At 44.6% G+C, this 26,662-nt stretch overlaps 1 protein-coding gene and 1 long non-coding RNA gene across 27 annotated transcripts in view, besides 2 other annotated features; one reads left to right on the top strand and one right to left on the bottom strand.

Annotated features, from left to right (window-relative positions):
- AUTS2 (activator of transcription and developmental regulator AUTS2) overlaps positions 1-26,662 on the bottom strand; it is a 1,195,032-nt gene that overhangs the window by 179,879 nt on the left and 988,491 nt on the right. The window contains exon 1 of one of the 26 annotated variants that reach the window (XM_047420171.1): positions 16,829-17,543. The exons of the other annotated variants lie outside the window; for them this stretch is intronic. The gene's annotated coding sequence lies outside the window, so the exon portion shown is untranslated. Of the gene's footprint in view, positions 1-16,828; positions 17,544-26,662 lie in introns of those variants that run through there. 26 annotated transcript variants of the gene reach the window in all.
- Positions 17,042-17,543: an enhancer, noted in NCBI's record as "H3K4me1 hESC enhancer chr7:70061071-70061572 (GRCh37/hg19 assembly coordinates)". NCBI's record gives its function as "activates a minimal SCP1, AML or CMV promoter by ChIP-STARR-seq in naive H9 embryonic stem cells {active_cell/tissue: H9 hESC(naive)}" and the evidence as "EXISTENCE:reporter gene assay evidence [ECO:0000049][PMID:30033119]".
- Positions 17,273-17,472: a silencer, noted in NCBI's record as "silent region_18225". NCBI's record gives its function as "represses an Ori minimal core promoter by ATAC-STARR-seq in GM12878 lymphoblastoid cells {active_cell/tissue: GM12878}" and the evidence as "EXISTENCE:reporter gene assay evidence [ECO:0000049][PMID:35858748]".
- On the top strand, positions 18,080-22,690 carry LOC124901668 (uncharacterized). The gene is made up of 2 exons (XR_007060375.1): positions 18,080-18,506; positions 21,652-22,690. It is a non-coding gene; the product is annotated as an uncharacterized LOC124901668 (long non-coding RNA).

Below are 26,662 nucleotides of genomic sequence, written 5' to 3'. Positions count from 1 at the left end.
CTTCTTCTGTCCATCCCTGGGGTCAACACTGTCACAGTGGGACTTACTGAGGCCATCCACTCTCGGCAACCCTCCCCTCTGCTCTCCTGTGGCCTGCCTCTGAAGTCCCCAGCCTGGGAGGAGGGAGACTTAATGAGTTCTCACCAGGGTCAATCCCTAACAAAACACACCTAACACAATACCCTCCTCATCTCCTTTCATAATATGTAGGCAAGCTGTCATCAGAATCTACTATGACACTCCGAAAATCTAATATTACTTGCAAAACAGCATTCTATATTCTCAGTGGAAATGTCTCTACAGCCTTGATTTCAGTGGCTCAATCTAGAAAAGAATGATGCACTTTTAAGGCAAAAAATACACACACACACACACACACACACACAGACACACACACATATATGTATATATATGCCTCTCCAACCTTTTTTCCTCTTGCTATTCTGGGGCTTGTCTTTAATGAGCAGCTCCAAATGACAGCTTTAATCACTGCCTCTGGCCACTGAAAGAGGCCGCTAATGATAGGAAAGAACATAGGGCCATTTGCATCAATCAGCTCCAGTCTAAATCACTTTTTATGATAATGCACCCAAGCGAAGAAGAAAGTCTCTGATGTCGCCTGCATGATGATGTACCACCGCGCTGTCTCCCTAGCTCAGACCTCCACATAAATCTCTTAAAGAGGCATGCACCCCACCCTGGACTGCCTGCCCAGCACTGCCCTCATTTTCTACACCATTAATGATCCACCACCAGGGCAGAGTCACAAGGGTCTAAGCAATCTGTTCCTTTAGTTCCTGTTCTTGGGGATATACCTTCTGATTTAAAAAAAAAATGTAGAAAAGAAGAAATAAATCCTAACCCACTTAGGACAGAACTGCTTATGACATGATCTCATTTTGTTTGCTTTGTAACCTCTCAAATAAAAGTGAGGGTGGATACATTGCCAAACTTGGTATTTGTTAGTCTCCTTGAAATGGAAGGTCATGCTGTATGACAAGAACAATGAGGTCTGGGTTCCAGCCCTGTGCCACCCAGGCCACTGTGACCTTGGGTAGGTCTTGTTGGACTTACTGGACCTCAGTTTCCTCAACTTGAAGGACAATACTAGATCATCTCCAGGGTTCACATCCGGTGGTAAAATACTCTGACTCTAAGACTATTTAGGAGAGCTGATCTGCATGTCTAGAATCCCATTCTGCTGGGAAAAAAGGTTGACTCTGCCTCTTCCTGGACCAGAGGTTTGAGCAACCACAGCTGACGATGTCAGATGCAGTGATCTGCTATCTCTACAGGGACTCTCTGTAAGCCAGAAGCCTGGAGATGACTTCCAATATTTTGCATTAACTAAAAAAAAATTATTAAACAACTGCAACTATTAAACAGTCAATTCTGATGCTGAGATGGTTCAAACACAGAATACATAAAATACGTATTCTTTATAGAACAAAGAAGGCTATGGTACTTTTCTCCTTTCCCTAAAACTACAAAAATCTATTAGCAGCTAATAATCTGGGGTCATTTGTTCCCGTGTTAAAGTCAGGAGCAGATGTTTTCTGCTACTTCGAGTATAACAACCAATGCACACATTTGTGTATACATTATACACACTCCAGAAGGTTTCCAATTTATTATTTGTATATTTAGAGAAATGCTTCAAGTAAGCCCATTTCTAAGGCCCCCTTTGTAGAAACTATGACTACTCTAATGAGTACGACTCTCAGCACATCACTGAAGTCACTATTCAAGTATGGTTTGGATGCCCACGTGACGGACTAATTAGTAATTACTTTATTTTATTATGCACAAGGCTGTAAGTGGCATTTTGGTAAATGTGAGTATAAGTACATTCTAGTGAGTGAGTGTGAGATTTTCATTCCTCTGTGCTTCATACCTTTCCACAGTCCACAGTAAAGTGCAGATAGTTATCCATTGTGACTGCGTAATTGTAACAAAAAGACTTGCTATAAGAAGCGGCTTCCAAATGTTAGAAATTTAGGAAGGTGGATGATAGCTCCTTTTAGAGCCATTTCCCCACTGGATTAGTTAGGATTATGTTTGACTGCAAGTGACAGGCAACCTAAAATAACAGTGGCTCAAGTAAGAGTTCTCTTTCTCACATCAAAGCCCCACGGTAGGCAGCCTAGGGCTGGCATGGCACTCTATAATGTCAGGGACATAGGGTTTCTCTAGATATGTTGCTGTTTCTGCCTTACTGCCTTTCATTCCCAAAGCTACATCATGGTGCAAGATGATAACTGCAGCCCCAACCATTATGTCCACATTCTAGACCGCAGAAGGAGCAAGGGTGAAGGGGGCATGCCCTTGACTCTTTAAGGGTACACTCTACAAGTAACACTTCACTCTTTCGTTAATACCCACTGGCTAATGGGGAAGGGACAGTCTCCTCAATACATAGTATTGGGAAAACTGCATACCTACGTGCAGAGGAATGAAATGAGACCCTTATCTCACACCGTGTGAAAGAATCAACTCAAAATGGATTAAAGACTTACATGTAATACAAGACCTGAAGCTGTAAAACTCCTGGAAGAAAACATAGGGGAAATACCCCATGACATTCACAAAGATGTTTCGTATATGATCCTAAAGGCAAAAATAGACAAATAGGATTGCATCAAACTAAAAAATCTTTGGCATGGCAAAGGAAACAATCAACAGAGTGAAGAGAACTTATGAAATGGCTGAAAATATTTGCAAATCATGTATCTGATAAGGGGTTAATATCCAAAATAGATTAGGAATTCAAACAACTCTACAGCAAGAAAATCATGCAAATAAAAAATGGACAAATGACCTGAATAGGCATTTTTCAAAAGAAGAACTACAAATGGCCAACAGATATATTTAAAAACTGCTCAACGGCACTAATAATCAGGGAAATTCAAATTAAAACTACAATGAATATCACCTCATACTTGTTAGGACGGCCACTATCAAAAAGATGAGAGACCAACCTGGGCAACATAGTGAGACCTGGTCTCTATATAAAAATTAAAAATTAGCCAGGTGTAGTGGCGTGCACCTGTGGTCATCCCAGCTACTTGGGTGGCTGAAGTGGGGGGAAAGCCTGAGCCCAGGAGGTTGAGGCTGCAGTGAGCCATGACCACACCACTGCCTTCTAGCCTGGGCAACAGAATGAGACTCTGTCAGGAAAAAAAAAAAAAAAAAAAAAAAAAAAAAGATGAGCGCTAAGTTTTGGTGAGAATGTGGAGAAAAAGAAAGCTTACATGCTGTTGGTGGGAATTTAACTTGGTACAGCCATTATGGAAAACAACAGGGAGGTTCCTCAAAACATTAAAAATATGGGTTGGGTGTGGTGGCTCATGCTTATAATCCCAGAACTTTGAGAGGTCAAGGCAGTTGGATCACTTGATGCCAGGAGTTCGAGACCAGCCCAGCCTACATGGCAAAACCCTGTCTCTACTTAAAATACAAAAATTACCTGGGCACAGTGGCACATGCCTGTAATCCTAGCTACTCAGAGGCTAAGGCAAGAGCATCGCTTTAACCCAGGAGGTGGAGATTGCAGTGAGCCAAGATGCCAAGATCGCACCACTGCACTCCAACTTAAGTAAGCGACAGAGTGAGATTCTGTCTCAAAACAACAACAACAACAACAACAACAACAACAACAACAACAACAAAAAACAGAACTTCCATATGATTCAGCAATTCCACTTTAGGGTATGTATCCAAAGGAAATAAGATCAATATGTTGAAGAGATACCTGTACTCTCATATTCACTGTAGCATTATTCATATTAGCCAAGACATGGAATTCACCTAAGTGTCCGCTGACAGATGAATAGATAAAGAAAATGTGGTAAAGACACATACACAATGGATCCTATTCAGTCTTAAAAAAGAGGACAATCCTGGCCGGGCGTGGTGGCTCACGCCTGTAATCCCAGCACTTTGGGAGGCAGAGGTGGGCAGATCATGAGGTCAGGAGATGGAGACCATCCTGGCTAACATGGTGAAACCCTGTCTCTACTAAAAAAACAAAACAACAAAAAAAAAAAACAAAACAAAAAAAACAAAATTAGCTTGGCGTGGTGGTGGGCGCCTGTAGTCCCAGCTACTTGGGAGGCTGAGGCAGGAGAATAGCACGAACCTGGGAGGCAGAGTTTGCAGTAAGCCGAGATCACACCACTGCACTCCAGCCTGGGAGACAGAGTGAGACTCTGTCTCGGAAAAAAAAAAAAAAAAAAGACAATCCTGTCCTCTGGGACAACATGGATGAACTTGGAGAACATTATACCAAGTGAAATAAGCCAGGCACAGAAAGATAAATACTACATGATCTCATTTATATGCAGAATCTAAAAAAGTTGAGCTATAGAAGCAAAAAGTCGAATGGTGGTTACCAGGGGCTGGGCGGAGGGGTTGGGAAGTGTTGGTCAAAGGATGTAAAATTTCAGCTAGACAGAAGGAATGTGTTTAGAAGATCTATTGTACAACATGGTGACTATAGATAATAACATTGTATTCTTAGAAATCACTGGATTTTAAGTGTTCTCATCACAAAAAACAAGTATGTAAGGTCATACGTATGTTAATTAGCTCAATTTCATCATCCCACAATGTATGCACATTTTAGAACATCATGTTGTACACAATAAACATATGCCATTTTTATACATCAATTAAAATAAATAAATGAATGTATTTAAATTTTAAAAATAACCATTGGCCAGAACTTAGTGATATGACAGCACCTTGCTGCAATGGTGGCTAAGACATGTAGTCTTTATTGCATTTAATCGGGCAAGTCACCAAATTAAAAATGCAGTGGTTCTATTAACAAGGAAGATGGGGAAAATGATTATTAGAAGTCAAGTAACATTCTCTGCCATATCTACTTTCCCACTGAGCAGTACACCAGGGGATTGTCCAATATCATCACTGGGACCCATGCCAGAGGTTCCCAATCCCACACAGAATGTGGGACACGGAAGCTCTAAGCACTTCTTCCTTTCATCAGGGTGGTTCATCGTGAATACCTTTAATTTTCTTACTATGGGGGGAGGCTGCTCTGAAAAAGTTATCCCAATAAGAAAATAGCAAATAAACTGTTCCCCTAAAAAAAGCATTTTAGTCTCAAATAGTCACTGCTACACTATGGGCAGAGGCATTTAAAAACCTCCCGGACAAAACCACAGGATGCCAGTTTTTTGTCTGTCAAACCGTCAAAGATTGGGCTGGATGCAGTGACTCACACCTGTAATCCCAGCACTTTGGGAGTCCAGGGTGGGAGGATTGCTTGAGCCCAGGAGTTTGAGGACAGGCTGGGCAACATAGTGAGACCCCATCTATACAAAAAAAATTAAAAATTAGCTGGGTATGGTGGTGTATGCCTGTAGTCTCAGCTACTTGGGAGGCTGAGGGAGGAGGATCTCTTGAGCCTGGGAGGTTGAGGCTGCCGTGAACTATGACTGTGCCATTGCTGTCCATCCTGGGCAACAGAATGAGACCCTACCTCTAAAAATAAAATAAAATAAATGCCAAAGACTAACAAAAGAGCAAATGCCCAGAGCTGGCAAAGGTCCAGTCAGATAGGCATCCTGGTACTCTGTGCTGTGCTTAGGGTACCAGTGTCCCAACTCTAGTTTTCAGGAAGAGTCGTATCATATGACTATTTGTAGAAATGAGGGTTTTAAGTTTCTTAACATAACACATTGACCACCAACATTCCACATGTGCAGTTCCTTGCTGGAAGTGATTAACTTTTAACTTTAAGTAAATGCAGATAGTAGAAGACCTTCTACAATTTTACTTCTACAATGCATAACAGCTTTTCTTTAAATATTCTCATTTTTCCCTAAATATAAATATCTGTGGAAGGAAATGGTTCTTTTTTTGTGTGTACCACTTCATATAAGCTTAATCACATGGGCAACATCAACATGAACATGTGCCAAATTCATCTGCATCTCAACTGTGTGGCAGTATCTTGCACGCTGAACTGCAGCGTCGCCTGAAGGAAATGGCATGGGCATTGCACACTATCAAGGACATCTGGTAATCGTGCTCACAGGTAGAAATCACCCAGCATCCACCATCTCTATCCTTTAATCTCCCAAAGTTCCCCAGACTCTTCCAGTCATCTCGTCTGCATCGTGAGTTGTCTTGCTTCTTGTCTAGACTTGACTTTTCCAACACCTGAGACCTCACTGCTTTCTTCTTCTCTGTACCATATCCTCTGTATCATACACCTCCACTAGGTTCGTTTTTAAATATAGGCTTTCCATCAATGGATTCTGCCCAGAGGCTTCAATTGATCATATATCCCAACACAGAGAGGCATACTTATTTTAAAAAGAGTGCATTCCTGTCAGCACTGAGGATTCCATGACTACACTCTAAGGTTTTCTGACACATGGCAAGCTCCACGCAGCTACTAAAGGAACTGTAATCCAATCACTCCCACCTTCGCCCCCCAGCAGAGGATTACTGAGAGCAGCATTTCCCTCCTTTCAGAAGTAGGCCAAGTGCAGTGGGGCCCCTGGGCCTCATCAAGAAGAGAAACACTCCAAATCACTCCGAATTGGTCAGTTACACAGGATAAATCTAACTCTGCCCAGGTGGGAACTGGGGCTCGCTATCACTAGGACTTATTACAGGTCTCCACACCTAGCTGTCTCCCCATCACTACAGAAACAATAAAGTGTTCAATGTGTTGTGTGTGTGCGCACGTGTATGAGAAGTCCTCCATGAAAGACTTTTTTTTTTTTTTTTTTCTTGAGACAGAGTCTCGCTTGTCGCCCAGGCTGGAGTACAGTGGCACAATCTCGACTCACTGCAACCTCCACCTCCCAGGTACAAGCGATTCTCCTGCCTCAGTCTCCCTAGTATCTGGGATTACAAGTGTGCATCACCACGCCTGGCGAATTTTGGAATTTTCAGTAGAGATGGGGTTTCACCACTTTTGATGAGGCTGGTCTCGAACTTCCGACCTCAGGCGATCTGCCTGCCTCAGCCTCCCAAAGTGCTGAGATTACAGGCGTGAGCCACCACGTCTGGCCCCAAGAAACACTATTACAGTAATTGAAGATTTTGAAAAGCTTATGGGCGCTGCACTATAATATAAGCTTCATGAAGCTTCATGTCTACTTTTTTCACCACTGTATCCCCGGCTGCTAACAAAGTGCCTGCACAGTAAATGCTATTGACCAAATGCATGAATGATGCTTCAAAACTAAGAACCAAGTTCATCATTAATGTAATTATTGATGGGCTGCAAATATAAATATAAATACAAATATTAACTTTTAAGAATCATAGATTACTAGAGTGTTAGGGACTCAGTCCTAAGTCCTAAATCGTCTAGTTAATCTCATAGGCTTCAAGTAGAATTCCTCATAACTATCAGATCTAGACGAGGCTCACTTTTAAAGGTCTGGAGGTAGCGTAATTATCTCCTCTGATAATCTTATCCAGCGCCCAAAAAGCGTGTGTGAAAGTTGATTATACGAATTGAGTCATTCTTGAAATATTCAACTAAATCAGAGTCGAGGTGCTGGGGCACTCTGGACATATAGCACCAGCTCCAAGAAGTGAATTTTCTGCAAGCCCAGCTGCTGAAAAGGCTTGCTATGACCCTAAGGTTGTTTTACACAGAGCTGCTGAAATGACCTGCTGTGAGTTGTCTTGCTTCTTGTCTAGAGTTTTACCTGCTGCCTCACTCATCAGACCTTGCCAGCTCCCAAAAGCTTCTGTAGTGCCAATGAGCCTTCTTTCAAAACAATACATAACATTTCTCTTTCTAATAAAATCCCCAATCTTCTCTTTGTCCTTTGAACATACCAAAGACTACTCTGGTCTGTGTGTATTCCTCAAATTGTAATTCTGTGATTCGCTAATACAATGTTTAATTGAGAAATTCATCGCTATGTTGTATTTTGACTTCAACACCTTTTATGGGAAAGATGACCTCAGACAAACTGATTTTCCACTACTTACTAGAAAAGTTCCAGATATGATACTTAAGTAGATTTCAGTGGGAGCTTTATATTTACACAAGAGAAAGAAAAGACCAAAAAAAAAAAAAAAAAAAAGAGAAAGAAGGAAAGAAAGAAAGAAAAAAAAAAGAAAGACAAAAACAAATGAACTGCTACTTATAGTATTTAGTACCAGGAGTACCTGGTAGTAAACGTGAGTTGATTCAAACGGTTGTGTTGTTAGACATCTTTTCCATGGAAGATATCAATTCCAGTCCCTCCTGGCTTGGTCAGCCTGTGAACATGAATGCCATACGATTCAGTTTTCAGACCATTATTTCAATTCGTCTCATTTAGCAGTAGGTGGTTAGCCAACGTCAAAAACCAGGAACAGGCAACGACTTCTCAGCATTTCCAAGGAAAGAAAAATTGAGCACAGAGCAAGGGCAAATGCTGTTTTATGATGCTTTAAAGTGGATATGTCAGTGTGTATAAGTTTAGCCTTAGTGAAAAATGGAAAATGTTATACTGAATTCTTCACGTGTTGAAAATGAAGACTCATAGAGCAGGAGGAACCCTTAAAAGATATCATGACCATTTGCGTGCTTAATGGAACCGCCCTAAAACATTACCACAAGAAAAGATTAAGGGCATACAAAGCAGGAGCTCCCTTAACATCTCAGGAAAATCTATTCCCACAGTGAAGAAATCTGATTTTTATTTTAGCCTGTAAGAATGGCAATAATTATTAAGCAAGCCCATTTATATCAGATTTCCCATATTTGGGGAAACTCCTGGGTTAAGTCTCTTTCCCCACTGTAAGGACAGAACCTAAATTCCCAGCCTCCCTTGCAGCTAGATGCCACATGGTGGAAGGTACCAGAAGGCAGAGCTGTGGCCTCCAGTGTAAGGCCTGCCACCAAGGACTGTGGTGGTCTGAGTGGTTCGGTTCTCCTTTCTTGTCCATAGCTTCTCTGTCAGCAGAGGCAGAGGTGAGCAGGGATAGTGGAGTGGGCTAGATGCTCTCTAATTCCCTTCAAGCTCTGACGTTCTCTAATTCTATACTGGGGAACAGCCAAATCCTTAAAGTAGGGCCTAGGGGCAAGTGTTACCTGTCCTGTAAGGTGAATATTTCTACTTTCAATTCCTTTCAAACTTCCATTTTCAACAGCATGTTGATCATTGGGCATGCTGAACGCAAATCTGGCTGGTGCAACTCTCTGTGATGGTTGCTGCAGAGCAAGGGTGAACTTCTGCCTTACACAATCACAGCAAGTAAAAGAGCAGCTAGGTAAGGCCCACCTTCTGCATCTCCAGGCCTGAAAGCAGTAGCTCATGCATGCTGTGGGCACTGACACTTTGCTCTCGGCCCACCCCAGCCCATCACCAGCCTGGAGGAGAGCACAAAATGGAACCAAGCGACAGTCACCAAAGCTTTTAATCTGTGCGGATATAAAAAGGTAAGTGATAACTACCATTCTGTGGAGAGGAATGACACCTGAAATGACCATCAAAAAGAATAAAATTGTCCTAAGAAGTTCAGCCATTCATTTCATGCAGTCGATATTTATTGAGTGGTTTGGTGAGTTCCACAAAACACCTTACACCGGGTCACGGTGTGTTTGTATTGTGGGCCAGGCACGTTTTAAAGCACTGTGCTAGAGGGACCCGGGTTTAAACCCAGACAAAATCACCTTGCCAAGCTTTGGCATCATTATATGCCAATCCCATTGATTTTTTGAGTGGCAGAAAATACTAAAGTGCTGAAGCACCTGGCTGCTAGTCCTCAATAAATAGTAGTTATTATTATCTCTGCTTCAGAGGAACTGGGGGAGGCTGGGTATCACGAAATGCATATTTCTTCATTAAGAGAAGAAAGCTGCAATTTAAATTATTGGCAAAATATCTCCTTAAAAATAAAGTATTTTCCCTGTTGCTCTTTTCCTGATTTTCTTTGGCTGGCAGGGGAGCTAACATTTGCAGGCTCCTCCTCGAGGGCCAGGGTCTTGTATGGTTTGTTACTGGAAGATACTATCTGAGGTTGATGAATAATTTCTTACAATGACAGCACTTTGACCCTCTCTCAAGCACCTGCCCCCACATCCTTGACTTGGCATTTCTAAGCACTGGAGTAGGAGAGCACAGCACAGGCTGCAGGAGGGCACAGCACAGAGGCCAGGGTGCCAGACCCCAGCGACGGGGCATGTTCTAGACTGAAGCACTTTCCTTGGTGTGTTAATCTGGCCAAGAAGCCTCTTCAAAGGTGTGGCTCTGTCCAGAGCTTAATCCATCAGGACATCAACCAAAGGTGACAGGGTACCTGGCACACTGACACTGGGAGGAGTGTGGGTGAAGACATTTTTATGGTGAAACTCTTACCCAAAAGCATCCTGAGAAACTTGCAGATCACTTCTCTCCTGCTTAGGATAAAAAAAAGAAAAGAAAAGGAAAATGGGGTAATGGGACAAAATGCCAATTTTGCTCACCTTGCCACCTTCAATCTGTGTCTATGACTCTAGAGGGCATTTATATACTTTGTTCTTCAAAAACAAAACAAACAAAAAAGAGAAGTATGCAGAAATCTTCTACGTAGATATAACTAGCTTTAAGGAAAAAAATACCTAAAATCCTGATTTACAGAAGAAATGAATGAGTAGGGATAGAATAACTTTTTTCACAACACAGTTCTTTGCTTTATCAGAGGATCTGCTTTTTCTCAGCACATACCACTTGTGAATTTAAAATAGGACTCAAAGGACATCAACCTGACACATGACTTTTCAGGATATATTCTTACCCAAGACAGGGTATACGCTAGAGAACTCAGGGCGAACAGACGAAAGAAAATCATTATCCAGTATGTACAGGGCTACTTAGTACACAAATGTCCTGATCCACTCTTTGAATTCTGCATTGCCACAGTTTTGTGTTGAATGTGTTCAAGAAACAGTGATCCAAATACTCTAATTACGACCCAGCCTGTTACAGAGGGGCTCCTGGAAGAAACTGAGAATTTAAGTACATTCTAGAACTTTCCTAATACTTTGACCTCTCTGCATACTTTTGAAACACTTTTCTTCAATGAGACTCAGGGTGATCTCATAGCATTTGGAATATGTTACTACAATGAAACACAGCTGCAACACCAAATAAAACATGAGTGCCTGGCATCCGGAGACCTGGAGCCTCCTGGGAGAGGATCCACTTATAGACTAAGAATCAAAACATCCCATCATTAATCCTTAGCAACCTGTAAGGTAAAAGTGCCCGATGAAAACACTGGGTCAGGTGTCAATGTACCAGGGGTCAGGTCCTGATCATGCTACAGTCCAACCGGTGACATTAGCCAAGTCACTTCCTGGAGCTTTGGTTTCCTCTGGTGCAAGGTTGAGAGAGCACTTTGTAAGTTAGATGGCATGACATAAGTCTAAGGTAGCTGTCTTGTTATCATACGTGCAGAGGCCCTAGCTATGTGAGAGGATGATGGCAAAGGTTTTGCTGTTTTGAAATTCTTTTGCCCCAATATGTCATTTTCAAGGTGTGTTGCAACCATAAAGAGAAGCTGCCTGGGAGCCCTGAGGATGTGCCTGGTAGTCTCAGGTATCTTGAGAGAGGCACCTGCCCTGGGGGGTTGGGATGGACATGGCACTGCCACCATGAGGATCTGCTAATAGGGAATCAGAGACTATTTAAGGACACCTACAAACTTTTTTCTCACCTGTAATGTAGAATAAATCACACTCTTCAAGCACTTGTTTAGAGTATTATAATCAGTCTTTACAAACACTCTGAGAAATGGTGGAGGCAGGTCATTTTTGCCCAAATGAAGAAAAAGGTGAACTGCTTCACCTTGCTGAGGCTGGTGAAGGTCATGATCTTGAAAGAAATCTTGGGCTCCTGAGATCCCCTCTTACAGGTGTGTGTAACCCATAAAAGAATACTAGAAGGTCTGCCCACAACTTCCTGTCCCCGCTTCTCTACTTGTTCCTCTTCCTCTCAACATTCCCAGTCTTCTCCAGCAGTCTGCAGCCGCCACATCCCTGACACACACCACTCTATCCTAGCAAGTCACACCGTGTCTTTCTGAAGCACGAATTGTAATAGAATGTGAATCTCTTCATGCTAACCCTCGACAGTGGGCTCTCCTGTCCTCCTTTCCCCTTTTTAGACAGTTTCACATCTGATTAGAACTTTCCAGTGGGTAATGGCCACAGGTTGTAGGCTTTGTTTCATAAATCCTAAAACACCTGCACAGGACTGGACACAAAGCTGACATACTGAGGGATTCCTTAAGGAACAAAAAGAGCTGCCCTAAGAAGGATCTGAATAGACATTTCTCCATAGCAGATGTACAAATAGCCAATGAAAACATGAAAACTATGTTCAACATCATTAGTCATTAGGGAAATGCAAACTAAAACTACACTGAGATACCACTTCACATTCACTAGAATGGCTATAATAAAAAGGACAGATATTAACAAGTGTTGGAGATAATACGGAGAAACTGGAACTCTCATAAACTGCTTGTAAGAATGTCAAATGGTACAGTCACTTTGGAAAACAGTCTGGGAGTTCCTCAAAAAGTGAAACATAGAGTTAACATATGACTGAGCAACTCCTAGGTATTGACCCAAGAGAATTGAAGAAATATGTCCATACAGAAACTTGTACACCAATGTTCACAGCAGCATTATTCACAATAACCAAACAGTAGAAAGAACCCATGACCATCAATGGATGAATAAAGAAACAAAATGTGGTACTGTCTAAATAATGGAATATGATTTGTCCCATGAAGGAAATGGAGTACTGATACATGTTACAGCTTGGCTGACTCTCAAAACGTTAAGAAACAAGACAAAAGCCACATACTGCATTACTCAAGTTAAATAAAGTATCAAGAACAGGCAAATTCACAGTGACAGAAAGCAGATGAGTGGCTGCCAGACTTTGGGAGGGGGTGCAGAGAGTGATTGCTAATGGGTGTGGGATCTCTTTTGGGGATAATGAAAATGTTCTGGAAGTAAAGGCGAGGGTTGCAAATATACTAAACAGGTTATAAATATACTAAAAATTACTGAATTGGGCCGGGCGCGGTGGCCCGTGCCTGTAATCCCAGCACTTTGGGAGGCTGAGGTGGGCAGATCACTTCAGGTCAGGAGTTTGAGACCAGTCTGGCCAACATGGCAAAACCCCGTCTCTACTAAAAATACAAAAATTAGCCAGGAGTGGTGGCGGGCGCCTGTAGTCCCAGCTACTCGGGAGGCTGAGGCGAGAGAATCCCTTGACCCAGGAGATAAGAGGTTGCAGTAAGCCAAGATGGCACCACCGCACTCCAGCCTGGGCAACAGAGCAAGACTTCGTCTCAAAAACAAAACAAAACAAAACAAAACAAAAAACCTAAAAACCCCACAAAATTACTGAATTGTACACTTTAAAGTGGTGAATTTTATTATTAAGATGGACTGTGAATCATTTCAATAACAATTAGAAAACAAAACAAACAGAAAAAAGGCTGCCTTGGAGCAGTGGTTCTGAAACTTGGGCATGCAGCACTCACTTGGAGAACGTGTGAAAACACAGGTTGCTGAGCCCCACCCTAGTTTCTGATTCAGTAGCTGTGGGTGGGGCTCAGGAATGTGCATCTCTAATGAGTCCCCGGGGTGCTGAAGGTCCTGTTGGTATGCAGCCACATTTTGAGAACCAGTGACCCAGAATAGAGCTTCTCCCAACTTCAGTGCATGTGGTGGACACTGTGATGAGCTACCCAGATCCCTGTCTAATGACAGACTTGCTGCTGACTGCTGGGAGTGCTGTCTGCAGTGAGTTGAAAGGCCTGGCCATCCCTGCCCACCACAGACAACTTAGAAGGCTGACCTAGCTGTGTAGCTTCCCGTGTTGTGAGTGATGACTGTCACTGGGCCTGTATTGCTGCTTGACTTCTTGCTCTACCTACCTATTCCTGTTCCTTCCTCCTCCTTCCCATAGGTATTGATCCAAAGGGCACTCCTTAATAAATACGCCACTGGCTAAACTCCATCTCAGAGTTGGATCATGGGACAACCCCACCTGTCATAATGCATATGAGAAATCTGGGGAACCTGTCGCAGATTCTGATTCTATAAATCCAGGGATGGACCTGAGGTTCAGCATTTCTAACAGGCTCCTTGGTGATACCAATGCTGCTGACCCATGGTCCACACTTTGAGTAGTGAGGGCCTAGATGACCTCAAAGTACTCCTCCAGCTCCATAATGAGGAGACTCTATGAGCCATCAGGTCGAGTGTAAAGACAGAAAGATACCACATTTACTAGGTCATTAAAAGGTACTGAGATTACCCTGTCCTTGAGATCCAGGCCATGGAACTGGGTTACAGGTGAGTGTGTTCAACACAGGCCTTTCAGGTGCTCCCTAGCTAATCCCCTTGGACAGGGGCCAAGATCAACCTGAGTTTCTTTTTTATATGCTCTATTGTTACAGTACGGCTTCAGGGAGTTACTTGGGCAGAAGTGAGTAATCTGCATTGTGCAACCAGCAGACAAGTGCTGACTGATACCCACTACACAGCCTATGCAGGGAACCAAAGACGGTGGGAAGAAAGATGAAAGGAAAAGAAAAGTAGAGGCAGGGTGGTGGCCACCATCTTTTCCAGCATGTTTGCCCTCAGACAAACCTTGCATTTTAAGAGTAGTTAGGCCTGTTCATGTCTTGTTTCCAAGTGGGATCATTTGATAAAGAGTTTGGAAATCTGTTTTTGACCCACATCTGTTCCTAATTTACTGGGAGTCCCATACCTTGTAACTCAGTTTTTCTATCTGTTCAGGCTGACTTCAGATAAATACATAGGTTACAGACTCATATTCTCAGCAGGTTACAAAAAGAAAAAAAAGGGAATTTGGAAACAAATCTTAAAGATGTTATCATAGAAGGAAACTTTCACACCATCCTACCAAACACCCACTTGTCAGAAAGAGAATCTGGGGGTAGGCTGAGCCTTAGGGTAGCCTTGGGCAACATTTCTGAGAGGACAGCAATCCTTGAGCCCCTACTCCCTCTTTTTTTAAACCTCATCTAGCTATTACAACAGCTCACAGTCAGGTGTGTGATGGACGGCAAATGCATAGGGAAAAAGGAGCGATATGAAGTTGTGATCTTTAATCAACTCTTAGGAAAAGTTAGGAAACTTGGCAATTGTGTCATTTTTGAACGTTACAAGGCTCAAATTTCCATCCGTGTTGTATCTTCAAGCTTCTGCCTGTTGTACAATTTCATGGGAAATAAAAGGAGTGAATGTCTGCTGTGCCTTGGGCAGAATACAAACAGAAAAGGAGTGGGCGCTCAATACAGTAAACCTGCACTGAGAAACCGTGGTTCTGGAAGGACACAACTTTCTACACTTTTGCTAGATTTTCATGGTAGCAATGACAAAACAGGACTAGGGGAGAGGGGAAAAACCAGGGTAGGTAAGCCCTTAAAATTCTGGACAGTGACACTCTGTACTTAGGGACCTGCAAAGCACCTGGAAGGGCTGAGACTGGGAGGCACACATACAGCAAACGTCTTTCGATACCTGCTTTTTTCTCATTAACCAAGCGGATTTATGAATAAGCTCTGCAAACTTTAAAACGCATGCAGTATTCAAGATGCAATGCCCCTTCCATGCCACTCACTGTCTCTTCTGGAGTGAAATGCAACTATAATGGTGCTCCCTGAACCCACTTGCAATATGCAAGCTCTCTAGAGAAGGTAGTCCCTGATCATCCTGTTGAAAATCTAGACCTCGTGTAAGCAAGAAAAAGAAGTCAAGGTACAGAGTGGCATAAATATTGTTACTTGAAGTGCTAATTATCTACCAGTGTATTCAAAACCTAGTGATTTCCAAACCTGCTGGAGCTTCTTATGGAAATAAATATGTGCATCCCAATGTAGGGTTAAAAGGATTCCCAGAAACCTACACCAAAAATATAAGTAATTATCCTCTGAGCAGGGATTTCTCTCCAATTTCACTGCTTCCCACAAGGGGAACAATTTCTTGAGAACATAATAGTAAAGGAAACAATACACCACCAAAGAGGAAAATAACATCTTTATAATTACAGATTAGTTCCCAAATTGCACACCTACATACTCACTCTGCTTTGAATTTGAGTAACTTCGATGAAGCTTGTCTATCCCCTTCAGCTATCAACATTTACAGCTCAACAGCTCAATCACAAGATTTTCCATACAGAAACCCCAGGCTGCAAAAGCACTCTCAAATGACCCACTCGTTTCACTCTTGAAGAATGTGGAAAACACAGCGACAGAGAGCACAAATCGGGGTTAATACCCCGGCAGGAGAGAGGGAGCTCTGGTATCTCTAAAACAGTTTCAGTGTGCCAGTTTTAGAGATTACCCAATCATTTCTAAGCCGTTCAGATTTTTATCAGACAGGAATTAGCAGCTGAAAGTCTTGCTTGGCCCAAGCTGTTACATCTCTTTATCAGGAATTCATCTAAGTTTGCATTGCTTGAGCAAGGCACTCACATTCATTTCAACTCATTGGTTACTTACCCATTAAATGGGTTTCTTAACCATCACACTGGTTATTTAATTCCTACCCCATGGCTCCCCCAAGAAATAAAAAGTGCACTATAATTATATAAACTCTTAATTAAACTGAAGAATTCAGTGTTGCCATTACCAGTCAGTAATTCCACTCAATTAGGACAATAGACTTCCATTTATTACTGAACTCCTAATTGCTACTCATTTTCCTGGTTAGTAATTGCCAATCCTATCAGACAATGTGCTTAAAGAAAATTCTGCCATGAAATTATATTTCTCTCCATCACGGGAAAGGTGGAATCAGAGTCCTTACGTGGTCAGGAGTTGGGTCCTCTTCTCTAGCTCCATGCGTCTCCAGGCTCGGGGGTTTTAAAGGCTGGTGTGCCCCAGGGTTGGCTGCTGGTGCTGCGATCCGCGGGAGACTTGCCCACAAAGGAAAGGCGTATCCAGGTAGCCAGAGAATCCCAAAGCCAAACCTAGCCGAAGAGGATGCAAAAACAAAACCACCCGAAGCGGTCTCCGCATTTCCAGAAGACTAAGTTCAAAGTCTCCAGGCAGGGCGCATTTTAGGTCTTGAGGTGTACGTCCACGTCAGGGGGCAGGTTCGGCATCTGCTGCTTCTCAGCCTCAGGAGACTCAAGACGGAAGTCCGAGGGTGGCAGCCGTGCGGTACCACGGCTGGAGCCAGCCGGCCTCTGCCTCTGCCTCCCCGGGTCTGGCTTCCGAGGTGGGTTCGCGGGCACTGGCAGGTGCCGGGGAAACTTGCCGGCACGCCGTCCGCCGCCTCTGGACGCCCGGGCAGCCCCGCACTGGAGCTGGAACGAGTCCTGGCAGCCGGCTCCGCGGGAGCTCCCGGGCGGCGATCAGACGCGAGCGATCTACCCGCGGCTCGCGGATGCCTCGGCCCAGGAGCTGCGCGCCGCCCGCCCCAGCCCCGCCCCGGCCCGCGGAGCGCCCCGGCCCGCCTCGCTCCTCATGACCGTCTCCTAATTAGCTCAGAAGACTGCAACTCGCCGGCTAGCAAAGACACCCACGGTGGGGAAACTTGACAATTTATTCCCGGGCCCGGGGGAGGTCACCTGCAGTGCACCAGCGGATTGGCTGCTGCGCGGGTTGCGGCGGCAAAGCGCGCAGGCAAAGCGCGCAGGCAGAGCGCGCGCAGCTTCTGATCCGCTCTGCCATCCCGGCAAGGCACGGGGCGGGGAGGGCCGCCCCGAAGCAGCCCGCGGCTCAGTACCGTGTGAAAGGGACGGTGTCGGTGCCGGAACCACAAAACTGCCCCACCTCTCCAGATTGGGTGGTTTGGAAGAGATGCTCTTTGCTGTTTGGGTTTTTAGACGTCACACTCTGTCTTCCAGTTGACAATGGGCTCAAGCCATTTACAGCCGGAAGATGCTCTGAATGAAGTATCTACTCCAACTTCATGTTACAGAGGAGGGAACTGAAGCAGAAAGGATGAAGGAGCTGTGAAGGTGAGTGGGTGGAAAAGCTAGGCCTGGACGCCGGGTGTCCTCATTCCTAGTCTTTCTAAAGAGACCAGCCCTGCCCTTGGGGCTGCCTTCCTTACAGAGAGCTCCACCCTCAGGGGCATTCCCAGGAATACACAGCAGTGCACCGAGAACTCTGAAACTCTGGTGTCTAGCCCACAACCCGAGAGGTCAGTAAATCAGAGAGCATTATCTCCATCGTATACATTAAGACACTTAAACATTAAGTTTCTGAACTATGCCAACATAGTTCAGAAACTCCCCCGCCCCTGAGCTAGTTAGTAGGAAACGGAGTGGGCATGCAAACTCAAGCTTCCACAATAATTCCTGAATTTCAGCCACCACACCTCAACGCTCTGCCCAAGGAGGTGCATGGAAGAGGAATTCCTGGAGGGGCTGCCTAGAAACCAGTGGCTGAGGATGACATCCTTGCAAATGGCACCAAGCCCCCTAACAGCGGTTGCTGCAGTGCCAGCTTGGGACATCCTGACCACAAAGCAGCTGGTAATAATTCTTTTTTTTTTTTCTTGAGACAGTTTCACTCTTGTTCAGGCTGGAGTGCAATGGTGCAATCTCGGCTCACTGCAGCCTCCGCCTCCCAGGTTCAAGCAATTCTTCTGCCTTAGCTTCCCAAGTAGCTGCGATTACAGGCATGTGCCACCACGCCCGACTAATTTTGTATTTTTAGTAGAGGCAGGGTTTCTCCATGTTGGTCAGGCTGGTCTTGAACTCCTGACCTCAGGTGATCCACCCGCCTCGGCCTTCCAAAGTGCTGGGATTACAGGTGTGAGCGACTGTGCCCGGCCTCAGCTAGTAATAATTCTTATTGCCCACTCCATTTTAGTGCTTGTCACATCTGCTCCTCATCAAAAGTGAACACACTCACTCACCCCCATCTCCCACTCTCGCTGAGTCTATTCTGGCCTTTGCAACCTCCGCCCATACAAATGGAGGAAACTATCAAAGTAGGAGAGAGAAAAACAGCAAGCTTCAGAGAACTCTCTCTGTGCCAGGAGAGCTGAGAGCTGCTAAGCCTCTCCCTGGTCCTTGAATACACAGAGTCTAGAAGGGCTCCCATCCTAGTTGCCTTGTGTTTGGAATTTGAATACGCAGCACTCAGCATTTGAGGCATCCTGTCACTTTCCTGAGCAGAGAGTTGAGCCAGCTCACCAATGCTATCAAATCACCGGTTCTCTCCACTAGCAGCATCCAGGAACCCAGATGTCAGAAATGTAAATTATTGGGCCCATCCCTGAGCCACTGTATCAGAAACTCTAGGGGTGGGGCCCAGCAATCTGTATTTTCAAAGCCCTGCCCCCCAACCCCAGGGGATTCTGCACACACTCAAGTTTGAGAACCACTGCTCTAAAAAGCTACTTGCCAGGGTCACCTGAAGGGGACAGAGCAAAGGTCAGGGTCAAAGTGGGCAAGTTGCACCGTGTATCAAAAAGTGCCGCCCCTCCCCTCAGCCACAGTTAGAGGCCCTCTAGGGAGAGTTTGGAAAGGAAATGAGTAGGATTGAGGCATAGTATTCTTCTTCTGACTTTGAGGATCACTGGCCTGACCCCATCCTCCTGTCATCTCAACACTTGAGGGCACAACACTGAGGGCTGCCTGGGCCAGACTGTGCAGCCCACATTATTTTGCCCTGAGCAGAATAATGTTCTATGTTCTATGATGTTCTATGACGCTGTGCTTGCGCTGCTGGCCCCTGGACTGAAGTCTCCTGCTCAGGGTCCAGGGTTCTCCTGCCTCTCTATAGAATCATTCTGGGGAAATGGGAGCTGTTCAAGTGACTGGTCCTGACTGTGGTGAGACCACAACAGTTTGAGGGGAGCAAGTCCCTGCGCCTGCAGCCCGGTCCCACCAAGGGGACTCAGCTTTCCCATCCCCTCAGTGGGAAGAATAGTTCCTCGCTTTCCTGATTGTTGTGGGGACTAAACAGCACTTTGTGTTTTTGGATGAAAAATAAAGCACTATAAATATATAGGGCTTGGTGACCCCTTATCATCTCCATTCATTAAGACATGTGCAGTGAACACTCTCATTCCATTATCACCTGACTAGAATCTGGCCTTGTCCCTTGGCCTCGGACATCACTGAAATGCAGGTCCTCTCGGTTGTGCCTGTTCTCCAAGGTGTATGTGACTAAGGGCCTAGGAGAGGGGAAACCAAAGGGAGTGATGCCCCAGCTTCAGTCCCAGTCTTTATGTCACTGAGGCAGTGTGCAGAGCATGAAATCACAGCTCCTTGATTTTAAAATGTTATGTTCTCATTTATTAAAACACGATATAAAAACAGGAATATTACCAACTTAGATTATTGAGTGCTTACTGCACAGCACGAAGCATTATTCTAAGTGCTTTATTTGTGTTAATTCCTCAAAACAGCCCCATGAGGTAGGTACTATTATTGTCTCTATTTTGTAGATGAGAAAGTGGAATTATAAATGCCAAATAACTTGTCCAAAGTCAGGTCAGGCATGGTGGTTCATGCCTGTTAATCCCAGCACTTTAGGAGGCAGAGGCAGGAGAATCGCTTGAGGCCAGGAGTTCAAGACCAGCCTGTGCAACATAGTGAAACACCATCTCTACAAGAAAAAAAAAAAAAGTAGCTAGCATGGTGGATTGTGCCCGTAGTCCCAGCTACTCAGGAGACTGAGGTGAGAGGATCACTTGGGCCCAGAAGTTTGAGGTTGCAGTGAGTCAAGATGGTGGCACCGCACTGCAGCCTGGGCAACAGAGCAAGACCGTCTCTAATAAAAAACAAAAACAACAAAACCTAAATTCCAAAGTTTGAAATCACTTTTAGGATGTTATATTTTAATTCATTTATGTTCAACAAACATTAATGACACCCCTATTGTATACAAAGCACTCTGTGGGTCACCATGGGTAGGGTAGGGGTAGAATTCAGAGAATAGGCAAAGAGGACATCTACAACTTCAGTAAAAGACAGGCAGGCAGTGGACGTGGTAGCTCATGCCTGTAATCCCAGCACTTCGGGAGGACAGGGCGGGTGGGATCATTTGAGGTCAGGAGTTCGAGACCAGCTTGGCCAACATGGTGATACCTCATATCTACTAAAAATACAAAAATTAACTGGGTATGGTGGCACACACTTGTAATCCAGCTACTCGGGAGGCTGAGGCAGGAGAGCTGTTTGAACCCAGAGGCGGAGGTTGCAGTGAGCTGAGATTGTGCAACTGTACTCCAGCCTGTCAACAGGGCAAGACTCCATCTCAAAAAAAAATAAAATAAATAAAATAAAATACACCAAACCAAACAAAAAAGCAGTATTACACAACTAGCAAGTGGCAGAGCTGAATTCAAACCTGGGCAGTTTGGCTCCGAACTCAATTCCTTCCCTGAACTTAACACTGTATTGCTCACGACAAAAAGTTAAGAGAAGAAAGAAGATTCTGCCCTTTCTTTGATGTGTCATACTGAAAAAACATACAAATATGTAAAATATATATCGATGGCAAATATGAATATTTTTTCTTAATATGTATTACATTTTCTACATTTTTACAATGAGCATATATTCTATTTATAACAGCATAACTTTCTAATTTTATAGACTACTATTTCTATTGAGCATATATTGCATTTATAACCAGCAACATTTTTTGTTATTATTTTCATAGATGATCATCTCTATTGAAGGCTCAGCCATGAGGCAGTCCGTGAGCCTCCTGGGAAGCCTAGAGGTTTGTTTCTACATGTCTGGTGGCTGCAGAGTTTGGAGAGCCGTGCCAACTGCAGTACCAGCCAAATTGAGGAATGGGGGATTATCTGCTCACAGCCAGATCAGGGTGAGAGAAAAGAGACCAGCAAATAGCCCTGACACATGCGTAGACTACAAAGTATGTTGCAGGTGGGGGGAGCATAAACAAACGCATGGAGCATATTAAGAAGAGAGTCGGGGCAGGCGGGGTGGCTCATGCCTGTAACCCCAGCACTTTCGGAGGCTGAGGCGGGAGAATCACTTGAGGTCAGGAGTTTGAGACCAGCCTAGCCAACATGGTGAAACCCTGTCTCTACTAAAAATATATAAAGTTAGTCAGGCGTGATGGCCAGTGCCTGTAATCCCAGCTACCTGGGTGGCTGAGGCAGAAGAACCGCTTGAACCTGGAGGTGGAGGTTGCGGTGAGCTGAGATAGCACCACTGCACTCCAGCCTGGGGGACAGAGTGAGACCCTGTCTCAAAACAAACAAACAAACAAACAAACAAACAAAGACTGGGTAAACCCGTTGCTAGGAACAAAAGCTTCCTGTCAAGGAGTAGCCTGGTGTGGGTCTTGGAACTTTCCTCCAGCAAAGCGGGCAGCATGGCCTATGAACCAAAAGCTTTGAAACAGACACCCACAAATGGGCTCTGTCACACCACGTCTGGTGTCACATTCAGGAGCACCTAATCTTTCACATTTGCCTTGGGACCCATCTGGGGTGGGGGCAGGTGGGGTGGGGACAGGTGGGGTGGGTATCAGCAGCCTCTCTTCCTGAGCCTTACTCAAGTCACACACAAAGGCAGGCCAGGACTGGAACCAACTTTTCTGTCTTAGTTCCAAGCACTTTGCCACCCATGTTGCCAATCTAGGTAAAATTGTAAATCTGAAAGATGACACCTTAACTACAAGTTCCTTTAACTCTGGAGAGAGTTAAATAAAAATAATGTAGTGGGCACTCTGCTTACTAGAAGTGTTATAAATATCAATACAATGAAACATTTGAAACCGATGGCACTCTGAAAGGACAGCTATGGTAAATGAGGAAAACAACACGAAAAAGGCCATTATTTTGCTTATTGGGAGAGTTTTCCATTCACAACTACACGTATGTTTGTTACAACTGGGAAATCTGTTATGTTTTGTTGACAACTCAGACTGTTTCTACATTCCTGCCACATTGCTGGGAGATTTCCAGGCTCAAGGAGATAATACGTTCATGTGTTTAGGCACCAGGGCTTTTAGTGTATTTACGATTTAACAGAAGTTTCTTTTCGGTCATAAAATATAAAACTATGATGACCGGCTCAAAGGTCTGGAGGGACGAGCTTGGGAAAAGGAAATTACCCTACTAGTCTAACAATGCTACCCTTCTCTTCAAAACAGATCCTCAGAGCTGCTTCAACCACTACCCTATATCCAAAGAGTTTCTAAAATAAAGGAACAGTATGCCCCCAAAAGTTCTAACAACCTCTAGGGAGATAGGGGATGGTAAGAACAAGGCAGTTTGAGTCAGAAAGATCTGAGTTCTGAGGCCCACTCCGTCACCAGCCCGTGAACTTGGCAAATCGCTTCAACCTCTCTAAGCTTTCAGTTTCTTGAACAATTGAGAGCAACATTCTCTCCTCGCAGGTTGTCATCAAAAGCTGCAAAGAACTGCCCTCTAACCAGAGGTTGTTGTCAGTACTTCTCTGGGGGCCAGTGCCCCCTTATTTTATACATATATATATATATATACATACATACACACACACACACACACACACACACACAAATGCAAAAACAAGTTCCTGGCCACTGTTCTCTGAGGTCACTACTAACCTGGGTGCACTTGTCTGAGACCAAGTTCTGGGCACAGCTGGAATACCTAAGTCATTGTGGCCACTCAGGCCTTGCCTCTGCAGACTGCTCTCCCTCCTCCTGGGGAGGGGAAGAAAGGTTTCTGGGCTTTCTGAGAGGGAATGGCAGGAGTGTTTGAGTGGGGAACAGCAGAGGAGAAAGCTGGAGTGGATGATGCTTTCCTGAGGGGCTCTGTCAGGCAGGCCTGAGAACAAACCTGGTCTCAACCTTCCCCCAGAGTCCCCCTGGAGCTTGGGGTGATGAGTTAAGAAACTATAATAGAAGCTGAACAGAAACTATCAGTCATATCCCCACGACTTTCTTTCTTTTCTTTTCTTTTTTTGAGACAGAGTTTCATTCTATCACCCAGGCTAGAGTGCAGTGGCATAATCTCGGCTCACTGCAACCTCCGCCTCCCAGGTTCAAGCTATTCTCCTGCCTCAGCCTTCTGAGTAGCTGGGATTACAGGCGTCTGCCACCGCATCCCGCTAATTTTTGAATATTTAGTAGAGATGGGGTTTCGCCATGTTGGCTAGGCTGGTCTCAAACTCCTGACCTCAAGTGATCTGCCCACCTCAGCCTCCCAAAATGCTAGGATTATAGGCGTAAGCCACCGCACCTGGCCATAACCCCACTTCTTTCTAGGTCATTTTTTTTCCCAGGGGGTTTTGTGCACAAAAAGGTCATTTTTGATTCCCTGTTAGCCCAGGTGGCTCCTGGGTTTTCCACCATGCTCTCCTGCAGCTCCACTTCGCCCCCTGGGAGGGCTCTCGTTTGTTCCCCACATGGGAGGAGTGGAGAAAGAGAATTCATTCTGCAGACCCGTTCTCCCTGCAGTTGGAAGGAGCGGATTGCCCCACTCATGTCTCGCAGTGCATGCTTGGAAGGCCACTGCTCCACTGCCACCAGGAGGCCAGTGCTAGGGAAAGGGCCCCCACTGTGTGACTGGCCGCTTTTTACGGTTGCTGCCTCTGTAGGAAATGCTCTGAAGGGATTTTGGAAACCATGGGGTATCCAACAAATGTTTCAAAGTACATGCTTCACTTTCAGTAGGCATAAGCTTTGTAACCCCTGATATATAGATCGGAGTCTGAATATGCTTAGATCTCAGAATGGAAGGGTTTCTAAAGAAAAACTCCAGAAATACCCGAATTCAGATGTAAAAAAATGTGTGAGAATCAAGAACAAAGCCAGCGAAAGCAGAGGGAGTGAATAACCTTTCATTTCAAGCTGCTTTCCCCACTAGAGACAGTCATGATCTGTACAGCACTATTTGATGCAAATGCCTCTCAGAAAAGAGCCAGTGGATAATAGATAAAAAGATTATCTGTGACATTATGAAAAATGAAAGTTTAAAAACGGCTACAAGTCCCATAAAAAAAAAATCCTAAACTTTATTCAGTCTTGTTGAAAGGCAACAGCGGAACTGTGTTTTGTTCAGCCCCTGGGGTCCCTGCCTCTTCCGCCATTGTTCTAATACCTTCCACCAGCTCATCTGTTTTCAAAAATCTTTCCTGCTGCTTTCTCTTTGCTGGAAACATAAGGTCCAAGAAGCTATCACAGCTCTGTTTCTTTTCCCTAACTGGACTCTGATGCTGGAAATTCAAGTGCTGCAGCTCCTGCCCCTCTCTCTTCCCCGTCGTCCCCCTCTGTGCTAAACCACCGGCTGCACACTTGATTTAACAGATGAATTACAGATTCAAGGCATGGGTTTCCAGGGCAGGAAAGAGTCTGATTTTTGTCCAGGTCTCTCTTGATTGGCTCAGCATGGAAGTCTTTCATTTAATGGGCCAGGTCCTGCTGAGAACACCTCTGCTGGCACCACACCGATTTCTTTCTTTGCTCGAGAGAGGAGCAGAGATCCTAAAGAGAGATTTTCCATCTTCCAGATTTCTGATGTGCTCACTACATATCATTCCTTTTAAACAGAGCATTACGAGTGTAACCCAAGACTCCAGGAAACATTTGATTCATCTGACCAACCATCTTTGATCTCAAAGTTGGCCGAGGTGTTGTTGAAGAACCTATTTAACACCTAGGCCACAAAAATATGCCTTTTTCTTCCACCCAAGGAGACAGCACTGTGCGGCGGCAGTTCAGTGTGAGGGTGTGGAGGGGAGTACCTTGTTCAAATTCCAGTTCTGGCACCTGGTAGATGGGTGGACTTTGAGCAAGTTTCAATGTCTGAATTTCTCTATTTGCAAAGCAAATACAGTAAGATGATCAGATTGAACCACATAGGACTGCTAATATTTGACTGTTTTTGATTACAAAAAGATTATTAGATTGGACCACATACAATTGCCAATATTTGACTGTTTTTGACCTACAAAAATGGCAGTTTCACATGGTTCATCCTAATACCCACCTCAAAGGGTGACTGTGAGGATGGAAGACAGAAAGTCATGTAAAGTGCTGCACCAAAGTGCCTGGGATGCAGCATGTGCTGAGTAAAGGTTATTATTGCTGTTATTGTCAAGGAGCTTACAGGAATCACTTGCTGTATACAGATCACCTGTGTACAGATGCTGCAATGTAAAATACTCAGATCAGTCACCTAGTTGCCAAGGACCATCTAGGCCAGGTGATGCAGTGCTAACAAACATCATTGAGGGTAGAGAAAGATGTGCACTCAGTCCAAACTCTTTCTGTCTCATTTCCTCTTGAAAAATCCCTTCCTGGGCAGGTGTGGTGGCTCATGCCTGTAATCCCAATACTCCGGGAGGCTGGGATGGGAGAATCTCCTGAGCCCAAGGATTCAGGAACAGCCTGAGCAGCAGAGTGAGACCCTATCTCTACAAAAAGTTAAAAAATTAGCCCGCATGGTGGTATGTTCCTCTTGTTCCAGCTACTCAGGAGGCAGAGGTGGGAGGGTTGCTCAAGTCCAGGGGGGTTGATGCTGCAGTGAGCCGTGATGGCATCACTGCACTCCAGCCTGGTAACAGAGTGAGACTCTGTCTCAAAAAAGAAAAAAGAAAAATCCCTTGCCATATGGAATGCTGCTCCCTTCCCATTCTGGAGCAATTTTACCCATTCCTGGTGGCTTTTATAAGCCAGTTGGTATGACTGGAATTAGACCTAAACTACTCAA

This window comes from Homo sapiens, chromosome 7 (assembly GCF_000001405.40).
Source record: "Homo sapiens chromosome 7, GRCh38.p14 Primary Assembly".
NCBI lineage: Eukaryota > Metazoa > Chordata > Mammalia > Primates > Hominidae > Homo > Homo sapiens.
This window is presented reverse-complemented; position numbering and strand designations above follow the sequence as displayed.